The 17,637-nt window shown below is 48.9% G+C and overlaps 1 protein-coding gene and 1 long non-coding RNA gene across 53 annotated transcripts in view, besides 4 other annotated features; one reads left to right on the top strand and one right to left on the bottom strand.

The window, feature by feature from the left end:
• Positions 1 to 17,637, bottom strand: part of TRERF1 (transcriptional regulating factor 1) — a 227,294-nt gene that overhangs the window by 22,134 nt on the left and 187,523 nt on the right. For 20 of the 52 annotated variants that reach the window (XM_047419048.1, XM_047419044.1, XM_047419053.1 and 17 more), the window contains 6 exons: positions 16,256 to 16,504; positions 12,275 to 12,659; positions 11,071 to 11,137; positions 9,899 to 10,038; positions 9,664 to 9,767; positions 7,787 to 7,862 (listed from right to left, as the gene is read on the bottom strand). In XM_047419048.1, coding sequence (XP_047275004.1) covers positions 7,787 to 7,862; positions 9,664 to 9,767; positions 9,899 to 10,038; positions 11,071 to 11,137; positions 12,275 to 12,659; positions 16,256 to 16,504 — 1,021 coding nt within the window. Of the gene's footprint in view, positions 1 to 7,786; positions 7,863 to 9,663; positions 9,768 to 9,898; positions 10,039 to 11,070; positions 11,138 to 12,274; positions 12,660 to 16,195; positions 16,505 to 17,637 lie in introns of all 52 variants that reach the window. The other 32 variants (XM_047419033.1, XM_047419028.1, XM_047419036.1 and 29 more) reach the window with 2 other exon arrangements.
• Positions 3,707 to 10,697, top strand: LOC124901316 (uncharacterized). The gene is made up of 2 exons (XR_007059577.1): positions 3,707 to 5,818; positions 10,410 to 10,697. It is a non-coding gene; the product is annotated as an uncharacterized LOC124901316 (long non-coding RNA).
• Positions 10,315 to 11,042: an enhancer, noted in NCBI's record as "OCT4-NANOG-H3K4me1 hESC enhancer chr6:42225117-42225844 (GRCh37/hg19 assembly coordinates)". NCBI's record gives its function as "activates a minimal SCP1, AML or CMV promoter by ChIP-STARR-seq in naive H9 embryonic stem cells {active_cell/tissue: H9 hESC(naive)}" and the evidence as "EXISTENCE:reporter gene assay evidence [ECO:0000049][PMID:30033119]".
• Positions 13,120 to 13,640: an enhancer, noted in NCBI's record as "H3K4me1 hESC enhancer chr6:42227922-42228442 (GRCh37/hg19 assembly coordinates)". NCBI's record gives its function as "activates a minimal SCP1, AML or CMV promoter by ChIP-STARR-seq in naive H9 embryonic stem cells {active_cell/tissue: H9 hESC(naive)}" and the evidence as "EXISTENCE:reporter gene assay evidence [ECO:0000049][PMID:30033119]".
• Positions 13,641 to 14,161: an enhancer, noted in NCBI's record as "H3K4me1 hESC enhancer chr6:42228443-42228963 (GRCh37/hg19 assembly coordinates)". NCBI's record gives its function as "activates a minimal SCP1, AML or CMV promoter by ChIP-STARR-seq in naive H9 embryonic stem cells {active_cell/tissue: H9 hESC(naive)}" and the evidence as "EXISTENCE:reporter gene assay evidence [ECO:0000049][PMID:30033119]".
• Positions 14,099 to 14,148: an enhancer, noted in NCBI's record as "active region_24546". NCBI's record gives its function as "activates an Ori minimal core promoter by ATAC-STARR-seq in GM12878 lymphoblastoid cells {active_cell/tissue: GM12878}" and the evidence as "EXISTENCE:reporter gene assay evidence [ECO:0000049][PMID:35858748]".

Genomic DNA, 17,637 nt, shown 5'->3' on the forward strand with positions numbered 1-17,637 from the left:
ATTCAGGTAGAGGCGAGGTGCCAATGGGGCACAAAGGAGAAACACCACACTCAGGTTAGGGCCAGGGCAGCCAGGAGGGCTTCCAGCTAGAGAAAACATGAGTTGAGTTTTAAAGGTCACATAGAAGCAAGTCAGATCATAAGGAGATGGAAGAGTATTCTGGTGAGAGGAAGCAGGATGTGCAAAGTCAGAGGCAAGAGTGAAGTCATGCACTTCAGTTGTTCATTCAACAGATATTTATTAGGTGTATATTACAAGCAAGATGCTGTACTAGGAAAAATAGCTTAACATTTCTAAGTGCTTACTAAGTGGCAGGTTCTAAGTACTTCAGTTATTCATCATTAGGTTCTACTAACAATCCTGTAAGATTGTTAGGATGATGAGCCCATTTGACAAATGAGGAAATGGAGGTTTTCAAAGAACGACTAGTAATCTAATCTGGTTCAAGTATAAGGTTCCAGCAGAAGCAGATGAGGCTGGAGAGGTGAGTGGAGCCAGTTCTTGACAGATTTGCCGACCGAAGAGGGAGAGGCTTCACTGCTGGGCTGGTGCATCTTCCTTACTGGCTAAACCTGATATTTATGTCTTTTTCCTCCATGAAAGAAAGCACGATATGCAGATAATAATATAAAGTTATACTGGCTTGTTTGGGGCAAGAAATAAGGCCTACTTCTAAGGGGACTCCTATTTCTGGAGGCTCTAGGGAAGCTTCCACCACTGTGGCTGGTTCAGAGAAAACTCAGTCTTATTCTTCTGGCCTGCTGAATTCTCCACATCTCTGATTCTTTGGATGGTATTTGGCCAAGGCTTTGACCTCACTACACTTCTCTAGACTTCATTAGTGGGGTACACTAGTACCCTACCTCACTATACTTCATTAGTGGGGTACACTAGTACCCCAAATCATAATATCTTTCCTCCCATTCCGGGCGAGTCCAAGGTTTCCATTTTGCTATGGTCAACTGATGGGACTGCAGTACAGGAAACCCTAATCGCCTCTTTCTTTGTAGGGTTTGGCCAAAATAAGTGAATCAGGCAAAAATGCTCTGGGCAGGCAGGGGCCTCCTTAGACCACAGGTGGGGAGCCTAGGGTCCTTAGAAGAATATATGGCTCAGTGACATAAACTCACATTTCTGAAATAAACAACTTCCTTGTGCAGCTCTTTGATGGGTCCTCAAGCCAGGAGCTTTGGCTCCAGACTCAGAATATGCTCTCCACAGCTGGGCGGGGTCAGACATCTACAAAAGCAGGGCCACCACCCAATTTATTTGGTTTGCAAACTTATCTTTTTCTTTTTTTTTTTTGGAGATGGAGTCTTGCTCTGTCACCCAGGCTGGAGTGCAGTGGCGAGATCTCGGCTCACTGCAACCTCTGCCTCTTGGGTTCAAGTGATTGTCTTGCCTCAGCCTCCTGAGTAGATGAGATTACAGGTGCGTGCCACCACACCTGGCTAATTTTTGTATTTTTAGCAGAGATGGGGATTCACCAAGTTGGCCAGGCTGGCCTTAGCTCCTGACCTGAAGTGATCCGCTTGCCTCAGCTTCCCAAAGTGCTGGGATTACAGACGTGTGCCACTGTGCCCAGCTGCAAACTTATCTCTTTACTTCTAGAAGGAAAGCAGCTTTCCCATGAATACTCAGCAGAAGGGAGTCATCTTCCATGGGTTCCAGAGGGCTGGACAGCTCTGACCGTGCAGACCACAGTAACACGGAGCCTCAGGGGGGCTGGGGGTTTGGAGAATACTTGCCGGAGTGCATGTGAGCACAGGGGGTTGGTGGGATTTGAGGCTCTATATCACTTCCATCACCATTCTTCAAATTCTGTCCAACATTCAAAGCCTTGGGGTCCCCTTACCCAGGAACAGAGGTAGAAAGAAGGACACAGAAAGGAATCACCAACAATTCAGTTCAACAACCAAACAACCGTCATGGTTCCTTTTAGGTATCCACCAAAACAGCAAACGGGTAAGAGGAGTCAGAAAGATAATGATGGAAGGAAGACCACAATGGCGGTCTGTCATACCAGCTGACTCACACAAGCTTACACAGAGGTTGCTCTGCTGCCCTGCTGCAGGTCCAGAATCCGTGTGGCCCTCAGCTGCATCTCCGATGGGGAATCAGGGGACATTTTGCTGATGAAACCCTCAACTAGATCAATGATAATTCTTTCCAACCTCAACCAGACCATCAGTTTCCTAAGTTAGAGTGCAGCTCTGAGACATGACAAGACACTAACAGGGCCATCCAGCCTTCTCAGCCAGTCTCTGCAGTGGATATACTTTTTTCTACCCACCAGGCTCATTACCTGATTTCTGGCCCCAAAAGCAGTGTTCAGTTCCCAGGCCTGTCGATTTCTGAGAAGCATGTCCCTTCATGTTTCCAAATTGCTTGCCAGATGCAACTCCACTGGTGATGTAACTTCCTGGCCCATCTGTTAGGAGAGATCCCCAAACCTCGTGGGGGAAGGAGACCTTCTCCCTGCTGATTCCTGGTGGTTTTTAAGACTGCTGCTCTGTCATAGGATTTGGTGGCTTCCTGATTCCGGAGTGTGCATTCTGTACAACTCATCCTGAGATGGAGTGGGCTGCATGTTCTCCCTGCCCCTCTATGTCACTCTCCCATTCCAAGGGATACAGGGCTGGGTCAGGGAGCACAGTCTTAAGACAGTAAGAGGTGGCTCTTCTGCACAGTCCTAGGCTTTGTGCTTTGGTGCAAATGATAGTGCTCTGTGTGTGCATGTGTTAGTGTCTGCTCAACAGGGTGTCCACAAATTGAGGGACAGAGCCTTGGCCGGGCAACAAATCCATTCTCACACTAGAGGTGGCTTCCTGATCACAAGATTACCCACCGAGGCTGAGAGTCCATCCCTGGGCTCTTGGATTGAATTCCCAGGCTAAAGCCTTGGACAGATAAATAACATATGAATGTGTTTTCTCCAAATAATATCACTGAACTGTGATAAAAAGGGTGATTTTAGTCACCTTAGGTTGTAAACCTGGTTCTGCCACTTACTCCTTCTGTGAACCCCGGGCAAGCCTACTTAACTTCTCTGAGTCTCAGTTTCCCCACATGACATGGGGATGGTGGCAGTTACCCTGTGACTGACAGGTTTGGTCCTAAGTGTTCGATACATGTTTTGAACCTTCACTGGCCACTTGGAGAGCAGATTCCAAATCAGCCCAGGGCTATGAGACGTATGCCACCCCTGCTGATATGTGGACAGTGGCATCCAAGACCACCTGTTTCTTGTTCTGTGTATTTCTTATCCACAGTCTCACTGCTGGCTGCTTATTATATCCATAGTCTTCTCCTTCCTGCCTCCAAAATCCCTCTGTAATCCGAAGTTAACGAAAGGCTCAGATGTCTCTCTTTCCTGGAGTCTGATAGGGACACGTTCCTCGTTCTTAGACAAGGTTCTCTAAGCCGGCCCTTCTTGGATCCTGCATCTTGGACAAAGTCCAGGATAAAATACAAAACCGAGGCAGGGTGTTGCCTCAAATCCTCCCCTATCCTTCAACTACCCCCCACACCCTCCCTTCTCTCTAGGATCCCTGCTGCCCACTCAGCATGCACACAGGGTTCGTGGGTTGAGAGTCCCCCCACACTCATTTGTTCTACCTGGGAATTCCTGGCTATTGGGCTATTACCAGCAGGGGCCCCTAACAAGATGATTAAGGCTAATTACAAAGAACCTAATTAACTGGATGAAACCGGTGCTGGAACAGTATCCAGAGGAAAACTGTTTTGACCTTCGGTTGCTGGGAAACAGGCTCTGGACTGTGGCTAATTTGGGGGCAATCGACAGTGAACACAGGCAATTAAAAAGAGACATGGAGGGTTGAGAGAAAGTTTGGACACAGTATCTTTTAGAGGGCCTTTCTGTCTTTCTTAAAACTTCTATTATAATTTTTTTCTTTTCTTTTGCTTCTTTTTTTTTTTTTTTTTTTTTTGAGACAGGGTCTCACTCTGTCGCCCAGGTTGGAGTGCAGTGGCGTGATCTCAGCTCACTATAGCCTACGCCTCTTGGGTTCAGGCAACTCTCTTGCTCATCCACCCAAGTAGCTGGGATTACAGGCATGCACCACTATGCCTGGCTAATTTTTGTATTTTTAGTACAGATGGGGTTTCACCATGTTTTCCAGGCTGGTGTCGAACTCCTGAGCTTAAGCGATCTGCCCGCCTTGGCCTCCCAAAGTGCTGGGATTACAGGCATGAGCCACCGTTCCTGGACCCATTGATGATGTTTTGAAGTTACACAAGACAGACATGTTCATTGCAGAAAAAGGAGGACTGTTTTATACCAAATTTTCATTTCCACACAGGGTTTTCAATAGTGGGTGAAGGTTGAGTAATTTTTTGGGGGGTGCAAGTTGAAGCAGGCTATTACACCAGAGTTTTCTCTGTGGATAAAAGGGGGGAAGCCTCAATCTGAATCCAGAATTTGAGCTTGTCCACTAGGCAATTTTTTTTTTTTTAATTTAAACCAGTGCCATGTTAGGCAAGGTAAAAGAGTATTAACTCAGTACTGCCCTTGAGGGGACCACTGTCTAGAGACATAGGCTAAGGATGCCTGGAAAATGAAATCACAGCTGTGCTTCTTGCAAATTACTCTCTTGAGTACGTAATTCTGTCTCCTCATCTAACTGGGGCAGCTTCCAAGGCAGAAGAGACAAGGCCTCTCCAATGGAATGAGTATTTCCTCCAGGTCTCCTCCATCTCCACAACTCAGGTCAGGGTTTCAGGACTAAGCAGGTGTTTGGGCTGTGCTCAGGGCCAATAAGTAGTCTCAGCTGAACACTTGCCAAGAAGCCAGGTCAGTTCTAACACCCCTCTGCAGGAATGACCAGTTCAATGAAAAAAATCAAGCATGCTGCAATCCATCTAATCACAACCAGGCTTCGTCTCCACCCTGACTCCCCCATGCTTGGCCCTTCCCAACCCAAGTGCTAATTGGGAACCACTGCACACAACTGCTAACCACACATGGGTGGGAAGGTGCTGAGAGCAACAGAGGGCTGGACTGTGCATCGTGGTGGGGGTTGAGCGCCAGAAGCCACTGCAACAGCACTTTCCTCTGTGGATCCTGTACAGGGTTCATGTGGCCTTGGCAAGCAGCCATTAGATCTGGGCAAGTTGCCCACCACGTCGGCCCTTCCCCCATAGCACATCTCTCCTGGGTCCCAGCACTGGTCACTTTTTCCTTTTCTTAATGAACGGCTTGGAGTGGGTGGGAAAGGGAAGATAATGAGTAAAGTAAGGAAGTGATTTTCGTAGGCCTGTGTCTTTGTCTTTCTCCCCAAACTTACAGCCTCCCGCCCTGACATGGACAGGCTCAGGCAGGCCTGGGAGACCTGAACTCCCTCTCCAGATAACTGGGAGCCTGGAGAGCAAATTCGGGGCTGGGACTCAGGATGGTGACACTGGCCACAGCCACAGAGTCAGGAGCCAAAGGAGATCCAGAAGATAGGGTCCCAGCAAGGTGGCAATTAAGCCAACAGGCAGTCACTACTGGGGAGCAACCCAACAGGGCTCAGCACAAAGGCCAAAGCAGAATGGGGCCATGGAGATGGGATTCACTGACACCTGGGAAGCAAATGAGGGGGTTCAGCAGTGGGAGAAGGAGGTGGTGGCTGGGACATGTGATGGGGAAGATTCTGCTGCCTCCCCTGCGGCTTAGAAGGAAACTGTTAAGGAGATGGTTTTGGGTCAGACTTCAGAGACCAGTGACCTCTGCCCTTTTTGCTCAAACTTCTAGAAGATTCTCTGAGTCCCAGTCTATCATCACTTCCTGGAGAAGGCAAGTGACTGGCAAACATAGGTGAGTATGTTTCTCTTGGAGATATCAACCCTTCACAGCTTAGCTCTATCTCTTTTGCCTCCAAGGATTGAAATGATTCCAGAAAACAGCAGAGTCCTTCCTGGTCTGCCTGCTGGGGAAGGGGACAGGGGACAGGCAAGGGATTAGCTAGAAACCCCTAACCTCAAGAGATCAATTAATTGTTGCAGAGTTTAGGGCCCTCTTGTTTCAAAGTTTTTGGTAATATTTTAGTGTTTTTATTTTGTTTTGACTGGGGTGTGTGGCGCTCCTAGTACATAGCTTTCTGACCTTTTTAATGTCATGATACACATAAAATGATACTTGTTTGGTACACTTGGAAGAACCAGAGGAGAGCTGTATCCCAGATGACGCTGCTCACAGCTAGAGCTAACCAGCCCAGAGGCTCTGGCGACCCTAGCCACTCTGAGGGCTGAGGGCAGCAGTTTCTCACAGCACATGGTTAGGAACCTCCTTTTAGCCAACCCACTGTCCCACCATCATGCAAAGAAGCTTGAGACAGCCTCCAGGAGGCTGGACAGCCTCTCAGGGTTCAATGAGCAGCAGATGATGCTGGAAATTAAGAGAGAGGACTGAGCTGTTTCCATGGCAGATTAGGGAGAACTCCTACATCTTTTTACCCACACTTGGGACAGACACCAAGCAGGAAATGATGGAGAAAATATTAAGAAGCTGGCTCCTTTAGGCCACCGGAGAAGTGATGAATTTCTTATTCCATGTGTCCACTCTGTATTGGCCTAGTTCCAGGAGTGACCTACAGGCAGACATCTTGGGCTTACTGTGCTTGGAAGAGGGGCTTTGAGGTCTGCCTTGTGATGACAGGCAGGAAGGCTCGTTCATGAAAGAGGAGGAGCACAGTAGGTGAGGCAAATGTTGGTGGAGAAAGCAAGCCAATATTTGTAAAGAAGCCCTCACTGGGCTGCCCGGACTAAAGATTGGAAAACGTATAGCTAGGTCCCCAAGCCCACATATTTGGCACCTGCCTAGGCAGGGTCTGCCCAGAGCACCAAAGAAACCCTCAAGTGATTAAAAATCAAGAGGCACTGAAAATTCAGCCCCCTCCAAAATAAAGAACCAACTTAGGTTTGTGGAGACCCTCAGAAGGAACAGTTAGTGCATGGAAATGAAAATGTTGACCTCAGTGTCACTGGTCACTTCTTAGGCTCTCCGACCTATTTCCTTCACTTTTCACAATTCTCAGTCCATTTAAATCTCATAGGTGTCTTCTACTTCCCTCTTATTGTGGTATTGTCATTAATTCACATACAAAACCCTGCGTGTATGAAGACTTTCCTGTCAGTGTGATCCATTATTTAATAACTGCCTCCTCCTCAGAGCCTCTGAGCTGCACGACGTAGGACTCTGCCCATGTCTGTCATAGTCACTGATGCATCTCAGTGTTTAGCAAGTCCCTAATACACAGTAAGTGTTCAAAAAATAATTGTTGGATACATGAGTAATAAATGCTACTAGGATGTGCCAGGCATTGGGCTACATATACCATCTCTAATCTCACAAAAACACTACGAGGGATGGAATACAAGTCTCATTTTACAGGTGAGAAAACCCAGGCTGCAGAAGACCATGGGACTTGGCCAAGGGGTGCGGTAGAATCTAAACCCATGGCTACTGATTCCAAAAGCAGGGGGCTGCTGATTGTACCTTCTGTGGCTCTCTCTGGTCTCATGCACTCGTCTCCTTGCCACACGTGCAGGCACTGTCCACTGTCACCCAGGTCTTGGCACACCCACAAGGGGCAGGAGCTTATGCCAACAGACAAATGCCAACAGAGCCAAAGCAACAGACATAGCTCTGCCCTAGGAGGCCTTGAGATCACAAGTGGTGATTAGGACAGAACCGGTGTTATCCATTGCTAGAAAGTGACACAACCGAACATGCAAGCAGCCCGTCGTCAGGAGGCAACAGGACACAGGGCTCCTGGCAACCTACCGGCATAGTGGTAATTTGCTAAAGGATGACATTTTAACCTGACAGGCTTCCGCAGTAGCAGCATTTCCAGAGCAACCTGCAGACCCAAAGGAGAGAAAAGGCAAGAGTCAGCAACTGGTCTGTGTGTCCTATGGAGATCATCTACCCAAAGGGGAAAAGCGGTTAGCACTGTGGAGGTCAGGGGCGGGGGCACTGGAAGGAAACCCAGAGGGAGACTCCCCTAACTAGGGTTTCATGTCTGTTCAGCAAATAAGACTCTCCTTCTAACACCCTCTCCATCCATGCCTGAAGCCAGTTGTTCATGTCACAGGAAAACAGAACGACCTGACTCTTCCTTGGTAAAATCCCACCCGCCCCAGAGATGAGTGGTGCCTCCTCTGACTGGAGGCTGAGTCTCTGGGCAAAGATTCCTAGGAAATGAGTGGGTGATCTGTAACTGTTTTATAGAAAAATCGTGTTTCATTACAGCTGAATAGAAACAGCTGCATCAGTAATAACTGTACTACACACACCATCCTTCCAGAGAGCCTAGCTAAATAAACTGTTTCAAATCAGCCTCGGTAGCTTTTTAAAAGATGCCGCAGGCAGAGTTGAACAGAAGATAGTTTCAGGGCAGAGCAGGGCCTAGAATCTTGCTACTCTAAGTGTGGTCCATAGAACAGGAGTACGTCCCTCACCTGGGAGCCGGTCAAAAAGGCAGAACCTGGGCCCTACTCCCAAGCCTCTGAATCAGAATCTGCATTTTTAACAAGATTTCCCAGGTGATGTGCACGCACATTGAAAGTCTGAGAAGTGCTACACTGCCACACTGATCTCAAAGGGTTAAGGACAGTTCTCCAGCATTCTAGGAAATACTTGAAGGGTATCATAGTATTGGGACATTTATTTTCACATTTTCATAAAATCAAAATGCAGGAAGCTAGATATACTACCATGTATTTATATAAAGGGGAAACAGAGGTTAGTGATTGAGTGATCTGGTCAGAAGTCCAGGATGAGGCTGGGTGCGGTGGTCCATGCCTGTAATCCCAGCACTTTGGGAGGCCGAGGTGGGAGGATCACCTGAGGTCAGGAGTTCGAGACCAGCCTGGCCAACATGATGAAACCCCATCTCTACTGAAAATACAAAAACTAGCCAGGCATGGTGGCATGCACCAGTAATTCCAGCTACTAGGAAGGCTGAGGAGGGAGAATCGCTTGAACCCAGGAGGCAGAGGTTGCGGTGAGCCGAGATCATGCCATTGCACTCCAGCCTGGGCGATAGAGTGAGACTCCATCTTAAAAAAAAAAAAAAAAAAAAAGGAAGTCCAGGTTGAGCAGGTCAACTGTTAGCTCTGATTTTGGGAAGACAGCACCAAGGCATGGGTTTGGGAACATCTGCAGAACTGTGTTAAAAGTGGAAGAATGGAACCAGTTGGTGAACAGTAAACACTTTATTTTGGTTAGAGGAGAAAAGAGTTCTATAAACATCAAACTTTGGCTGATTTCCATAGTAGGGAAGAAGAATCAGCAGAGTATGATAGGCTATTTTAGACCAACTTCTGCTTCAGTAAAGCCTTCTACCTCCATCACTGGAGACTCAGTTTTCTGATGTGAAGTGCAAGATGTGGAAAAGAAATTCTAATGTCCTAGGACAGATGTACCCACAGTTCTAACTTTAGGAACAGATGTGGAAACAGAAATCCAATTGGAGATTTTTTTCTACAGACTTTAACATCCTGACCTACCCACCGAGAGAAGGAATAGGGAGGCGTGCTGATTGGTCATCATGCGCCGATTGGTCATTACAAATTGGTTGTATGGTACATGAGACAATATTGAAACTTGGGAAAATACTCTTCAGGAATTTGTAAAGCCTCTTTTTCATGGTTCCTTACCATCACATCACCTTTGGCCTCAAACAGAGAGTGCAAAGCAAATTCAGAATTGGTCCCTCCACCTGGCAATGCACTGGAACAGCACAAATTCAGAAGATTCTCCACTGTTGGGAATAAGGAGAAGCCAATGCATCAGAGAGAGCTGAGTGTAATGGAAAACACACCAATCCCAGAGCCAGTGATCTCAGTGAGAGAATCAAACCTCTCCCACCCAGCTCTTCCCATATGCCAATACCTCTTTGCTGGAGGTCATGGTTTTCTAGTTCTGGCCAGGGCTTCCATACCAGTGTGGCCTTGTGTGTGTCCTGGGCCAGGGCAGAGATATCTTGGAGTTCAGGGATTTCTGCTTGGAATCTCAAGCCAATGTTGATGCGTCTTTAAATGACAAGAAGAAAAACAACAATGTGGTCTTCAATTTGATGGCTCAGGCCAAGGGCAACTGTCAGGAACTTGAAAAAGAAGGAAACTAGTTCTTTCTGCAAGAATGCAGGGGCATTTCCTCACAGTGTGACCCTAAGATTCCACACGTGGCCTTTTCACTGGGATAAGGAACAGCTTTAAGATTAGGGAGAAATATTTTAGGAGCAAGGGGGCAGTCGGCCTGGGGCTTTTACAGCTCCCTGTAACTGGGAGAGGGAGGGTGATTATTTCCAACATAACAGTTTCCCAGAGCATGGCCAATGGTGCCATTTAACAACACAAAAAAGGGGACAAATACAAAGCATTCATTTTTTTATCTCTTTCAGATCACTTTCACAGATATTATCCCATCCGAACCTCACAGAGATCTGTGATGTAAGCAAGGCTGGAATAATTACTCCCATTTGACGAGTCAACTAAACCCTACAAAGGTTAACTGGATCAAGATCAAATTACAAAATGGTGTTGGAACTTAGGTTTTTTGATTCCTGACTCAATCTACTCACCACTCTACCACCTGGCCTCTTTTCTGTGCCTATCCATGAAAATAACCACCTTTGCCTCTCCTAATACCACCCACTGCCTATGCAAAATTAAAGTACTTAACAAGCCCATTTGGAGGACTGGCCAAGAATTGGGGAGGAGGGAAGTGAAGACATTCAGAAGGAGCCTCTTAAAGAATGAGCCACCCGGAGGGAGATGCCTGTGTCACTGGGGATGAGAAAGCACTGCCTGTGGAGCCAGACGCAGGGACGCTAGGCTCTCTGAATACAGGGCTTCATGCTTTGACCATGTATTTAGTCTTTGGCAAAGGCCTTGAAATACTGGCAACCATTGTGCAGGGAAACAACAGTACTCAAGAAATAACCACGATCCTACAATTTCTACAACTGCTCTCTCAGTGTAATCCTCTGACTACAAAAGTATTAACTATACTTCTCAAGAAGCTGAGGCTTCTGTTCTAAAGAGTAATTGACTTTTCCTTACGGTTCAACATCTACAGTCTGCTCTCCAGGCCCTGGGGTGACCGTCACGTTGCTGCCATCGATGCTGTCTAAAACACAAAAATCAGAGGTCACTAGTCAACAGGGAAGGAATGTTGAAAAAGACTAAAGCAAATGAGCAGTTACCTAACCAGCCATAATAGAGCTTCTCTCCTACCCAGCTCCTGCCAGAGTTATCCTTGACAGTTTCCAGGGAGCTGGGTGGAGTATGGTGCAAAATAACTTAGGGTTACCCATTTCTCACACAGGGTGAGGAGAAGCCAGCTGTCCCACAATGGTCTGCTAAGCGGTATGATTTCTATGCAATTATTCTTGCTCCAGAAAGAGATCCTAGCCTCTCTATGCTTGATTTTTATAAAGCATGCTAAAATGTCAAGGCTTGATCTTGCATGTAATACCTAATCTTATTTGTACATCTACTGAGTACATTTTCTTTTTTTTGAGACGGAGTCTCGCTCCTTCGCCCAGGCGGGAGTGCTGTGGCGCGATGTCGGCTCACTGCAGCCTCCGCTTCCCGGGTTCAAGAGATTCTCCTGCCTCAGTCTCCTGAGTAGCTGGAACTACAGGTGCCTGCTACCACATCCCGTTATTTTTTTTTTTGAGACGGAGTTTCACTCTCATCCCCCAGGCTAGAGTGCAGTGGCATGATCTTGGCTCACTGCAACCTCTGCCTCCCAGGTTTAAGCGATTCTCCTGCCTCAGCTTCCCAAGTAGCTGGGATTACAGGTGCGTGCCACCATGCCCGGCTAATTTTTGTATTTTTAGTAGAGACGGGGTTTCACCATGTTGGCCAGGCTGGTGTCCAACTCCCGGCCTCAAGTGATCCACCCGCCTCGACCTCCGAAAACGCTGGGATTACAGGTGTGAGCCACCGCGCCCGGTCTCATTTTTTCTCTCTTGCACGATCATTGCTGGCAGCCTTAAAAAGTGGGTGAACATTTCAACTGTTTCCTTATCCCAGAGACTGTAGTGATCACTTTATGCATCTGTCTCCCAATTAGACTGCGATTCCCTTGAGGATAAGGGCTATGTATTCCAAGTCTTTCTTAACACCCAGCAGCGCGTGCTACATACAGCCAATACTCCGCAAAAGTCTGTGGGATAAATGAGAAAGCTAAAGAAAACGAGATGTCCCAGGACTTTACCCAGCACCCAGAGCCCAGGAGGACGCTAAAGGGGTGACTCACTGGAGCGACACAGCAGCACCCGTGGTGTGGGCGTCAGGGGCGTCAGGGGCAGCTGCGGGTGGGCGCCAGGGCCGTGGCCGGAGATGAGGACATTGCTGAAGAGCCCCGAGCCCTGGCGCACCGGGCTCAGCATGGGTGGGGGCGTGTAAGGGGGCAGCTCGTGGGTGGGGTCCAGGAGCAGGTGGTCCCCGAGGACGCGCGGGGAGCGCAGCTGGCTCTGGTACAGGGTGGCGCCCGAGTAGGAGGCAGCGGGGTTCGGGTTGTAGGAGGGCGGCGGCGGGATGAAGAGAGGTTCCGGCCGGTGCCGGAACTTTTTCTTCTCCTGCACGGTCTTGAGGGGCTCCTCGGCTTTGGGCACACTCGGCTGATGCTTCCTGGGGATTTCCTAAAACCGGAACAACGATCTGATTCGAATACTTCAGCTTCCCCCGCAGGCCATTTCCACAGGTTCAGGGAAGGGGGCCTTCTACTGTCTAAGCAGAGAGCCCTTCTGCTTGACCCCCCCACCCCCAACGCCCCCACATTCTGACCACATCCATTTTAGGCAAAGCGAGTTCTGGTTGCTAGACTAGGGAGAAAACTAAGGTTTTGGAAGAAATCCCTAATTTCTGAAAGAGCTGGGGGTGGTAGGAATAGTGGGTGGGCAAGAAGTAATAAATTCAAATTCTTTATTGCTTATCACTACATTCCCATCTGTTTGAGTGGAATCCAGCTGAGTGGGCTCTTTAATTCCCCCATTGCTCCCCAGGGACGGACATCAGGAACAGATACCACATGTTCTGAGAAGGGGACAGAATAATCTCTTCAGGGAAGCTGGGACCGAGACCTGTGAGGCAGGAAGTGGGGGTTCAAGCCTAGCCAAGGTTCCTAAGGCCAGCGACCCACACCGGGCTCTCCTGGGTCACTTTCAGCAGGGGGGGAGAGCCTTCGATGACCTCTAAGGGCCCTTCCATGTGCTCACCTAAAAACGGATCTGGTTAACCTCCCCCGTCACCACCCCTCACTATTGCTCCCAGAACTCGTAGCTTATTTGTAGCAAACTCTTCTCTGAGGTTGGCTTCCTGTCAGGAGAGTTAGTTTATTTTAATGGCAGCGGAACCAAGCATAGTCTGGAAGGAGGATCTGCCACATGGATACATATATACTAATAAGTAAACATAGGCACGTAAACAGATGAGCAGGGCATGCCAAAGCCAAACAGAAACAGACTCGGGTTGTGTGGTAGCATCAGCCCAGAAAAGTCGAGAGCTGGGTGTGGCTGCAGAGGCAGTGTGGTTGGGAGGGGCCACGGGGATACCTGAGGGAAGGTTCTGGGCAGTCTGGGGTGCCCTCTCAGGCCCTGCAGGCCAGGGGCCAGTCACAGCTGCAGGTCCTGGAGACTCCTGAGCCCAGGGTGGCGCCTGGGTAGGAAGCAGCAGGGGGTGATGGGAAGGGCTGGCTACGGTCATGTGACCATCTGCCTCCAGGCCATGTGACCTGCCCCATGGGCTCCTCTGCTCTGGGCTCCTCTCCCTCCAGAGCTTCAGGCTCTGCCCCCTTCTGTTTCTCCCTCAGCTTCTCTGCCTTCCATGGTGCCATCCTGGCCTCTAGGAGAGGAGTCTAGGGAGGCAGAGAGTGGGGAAAGGAGGAGGGGGCAGAGGGTCCCAGGCTCCCGGCTCCAGAGTGAGGTTCCTAACTACCCCCGCCCCCACCCCTCCCCTATCCCCGCGCCTCACCCCCAGGGGACCCTCCTTAGGCCAGCGCGCTCAACCGCCTCTTTTCTCCACCAGAGGGCTCCTCAGCGCCTGAGGCTGAGGCGAGAGAGGGGCTGAGGAGAATGGGGGAAGGAGGCCTGTGCCCCCCCCAAGGGGAGCAGCCCTGAAGATACACTCTGTTCCCGGGTAACAGATAAGATCATCCAAGAACATGCAGACCTTATATGATCTCAACGCAGCACTGCAATCCAGACCTCTGATCACAGGGCCAGAGGTCCCTTTTGGGCTCCCTCTCCTCCAGCTTCTTGTCCTGTTACTCCAGCTCTAAACCTGGATTTTCCGATCCTCCAGGCAAGGCTCTGAGCCACTGGGCAAGAGAAGCCACCCAGGATGTCATATATGGTTGTCACTTGAGAGGAAACACTTACAGTGTTCCACCCCACCAAGCTATTTGGACACTTTGGGGGTGAGGCCAAGCACTGAAAACTTTAAAAAGCTGCCCACAGAGAAGGATGAGAACCACTGATGAGTCCAACCCTATCAAGGTCAGGGGAGGAAACTGAGGCTGTGAGTGGGGGGCAGGTCTCAGCTGTCTTCATCCCAGCTGGCTAGGAGCCAAACTGAGATGGGCACTCGGGGCTCCTTCCTGGATGTTTTAATTTCTTTACATTAAGTGCCAGGGCCTTGTTCCCATGTATTCAGTCCCACCTACATGCTTCCACTTCAGCCTACCGCCCCCACCAACGAGGTCTCTCTCACCCTTCCATTAAGCCAAGTTCATCCCTTCCTTCAAAATCCTGCTCAGAACTCTAATGGTGATCTCCTGAGCAAACTCCCTTGCCCCTCCCCAGTCCATAATGACTTTGGCTACCCAGGTGTATTCTCATCCAGTCACACTTAAAGCATCAATTTCTTGTCTGCCCCTGTCTTTCTCTTACCATCTTGAAGGGGTGGGGGGGGTGTGCCTGGGACTCTGACCCCCATGTGACTATGAACTCTTAATTGAGAGTTCCCCAAGGGAACTATTTCCCCAAGGAAACACTGTTTCTCCTGCCAAAGCACGAACTTCCCTGGGCAAAGAGGGAGCTTGGATGTGTCATTTCATCTCTCTGCCTGTTGCTGACCCCCAAGTCCTGACGGCTTATGAGAATCTTCCCCCCAGTTCTCCATCAGTTTCTCTTCTTTTGAGGACTTGATATTACACCATAAAGGTTTTTTTCTGTACTTTTCTAGTTGTATTCATTATCTTCTCTCCCTCTACCCTGGCCCAGCCTACCCTTATGCCTCCTGGATTCCCAGCAGCTACCTATTCCTAAGGACAAATATGACCCAACATGCCACTTTGTGGGGAGGGGGTAGGTTTGATATTGCCAACCACACAGGTCACAAATTCCCTAGGGGCAGAGAGAGAGAGAGAGAGAGAGAGAGAGAGAGGAGAGAGAGAGAGAGAGAGAGAGAGAGAGAGAGAGAGAGAGAGAGAGAGAGAGAGAGAGAGAGAGAGAGAGAGAGAGAGAGAGAGAGAGAGAGAGAGAGAGAGAGAGAGAGAGAGAGAGAGAGAGAGAGAGAGACAGACAGACGGAAACCCTTCCCAGAGGCAAATTAAGCTGTTTGAGTGAAGCACTTAAAATTGGAGAAAGGAGAACAGTGAGTGAGAAAAACAAATCTCTTTGCTTTCCTGAGATTAGGGGTGGGTGGCTCTCAGTGGAACTACTTTGGGAACTTTAACGAATTAGGTTCTCCAGGGTATTTAAGCAGACAAAAATATTAAGCAACTGGTAAGGCTGCTTGTCAGAATGGATGCCAGGGCTATTGCCTGGAAGCCTGCTGCGCCAGTGGTTACCTCTTTGGTTGTGGATTTGGGAGGTCTGGAGATCCTGGGGAAGGGGCCAGGGCCTGGGGCAACAGCTGCTTACTTTCTGGGATACAGGACTTCCATATTTCAATAATGGCTATGATTGTCTCAGTGACTCCCAGCTGAATGATCGTCTCTGTTTAAACCTGGGAACACTTTCGGGTCTCTCAGAATCTAACCTAGGCCATTAGTTTGGCATTTAATGGGGAGCAGGCAGTGTGAACAAGGGTAGGGTTCCCAATGTGGCCACGGGTTCAGCCCTGAGAGACCAAGCCGTATCCAAGCTCAGGTCAGTGACTCTGGAAGGGCCGCCCCATCTCCAAGAAAGCAAAGGGATGTCCCCACCCAGGCAGGTGGGGCAGAGCAGCAACTCACAGCAGGCGTGCGGGGGGCAGCCCCTTGGGGTGAGTGTGGGGGAGAGAGGGTCATCCTCACGAGCACAGGCATCTCGTCGTCCGACATCGAGCTGGCTGGCTTGTCTCTGGCGGAGGGGGCGGCAACGGTGCTGTTGGTGAACCCCTGAGAGCTGGGCTTGGGCGGGAGAAGCTTGACAGGGACAGACACGGGCATGACCATAGGCGTGAGGCTTTCTGCCTCGGGAGGGAGCTGTGGTGGCGGCGGAGGCGGAGGCGGAGGCGGCAGTGGTGGCTGGGGCTGAGGCGGCAGGACCTTCTCTCCTTCCTCCTACACAGACAATAAAGGCTTTGATCCTGGGCTGAGAGCAGCTCTCACAAGGGGGATGCACTTTGCTTTTCCCGAAAGGTTCCAGGACATCAGGTATGGGTGATAGAGAACCGCTGCAGGGCGATTTCCTTCCTGCAATCCTGAGTCCCTTGGCTGGAGTGATGCCAGCTGATGGTGGAAGAGGCTGGACTCCATTTTTTACAGTTAAAAATTCTTGACCATGCATTACTTGTGTATTAAACTATTTTAAAAAAATTGTGTGGTTGTCATGCTTTTAAAGAAAGGGACACGGACTTGTAATCAGTCCAAAAGAAGGTACGATCTTGTGTAGGAGTTTTTAATTCTATGGGCCTTAGTTCACTCATTTGTCAAATGGAAATAGGCATTCCATCCTAAATTTTATTCAGGTCAGGAAACCACACTGGAGATACAAAACATGTACTTTTAACAAGTAAAGACAAAAGCTTTTTTAAAAAACATAATCTGGCATGGCCAGGAGATGGAGTGATCTGGGTAATCAAAAATTCTGTTCAACAGAGATTTAATCCCATAGATTTAAATTAAGAGTAACAATATTAAAATAATTCTGAGAAAATTTTTTGATTTTAATCTAACTCTAAAATTTGTGGATAGTTTACTATCTGGATATCCTACCTGGATAATCCAGAGGGTATTTAAGGATCTTTGGATGTTGAGCTGAACACCACTGCATCAGTAAATAGAAAATTCTGGCTGAGAGCCTGATGATTATATTAGCTTTCTCTGGCAATTGACCACTAATCTGGAAGGCCCCAGTGGGCCTGGTCTTGGGTGTGTCAAGCAGCAGAAGTTTAAAAATAATATTGCATTTACATGTTTTCCTTTGCTGTCTTCTCCAGGAGGCAGAGAGAGAAGCTGGGATGCCCTAAAAGGCTTTCTAGCGCCTCTGATTTTGACCCTTGCTCATCATAAAGCTGGGGAAGTGGGGCTGCTTGACCTGGCTGGCTCCCAGCGCCAAAGCCTAAGCATTCCTGTCAAGGGAGGACTGTGCCTCGCCAGGTCCCGCATGGGGCTCACATCACTCTCTGTCTGACGGCAGCAAAGCAAAGCAAGCAGCACACGACCTAGAAAGGACCGGGAACTGGCTCCTGCTA

The sequence above is a fragment of the Homo sapiens genome, chromosome 6 (genome assembly GCF_000001405.40).
Source record: "Homo sapiens chromosome 6, GRCh38.p14 Primary Assembly".
Lineage (NCBI taxonomy): Eukaryota > Metazoa > Chordata > Mammalia > Primates > Hominidae > Homo > Homo sapiens.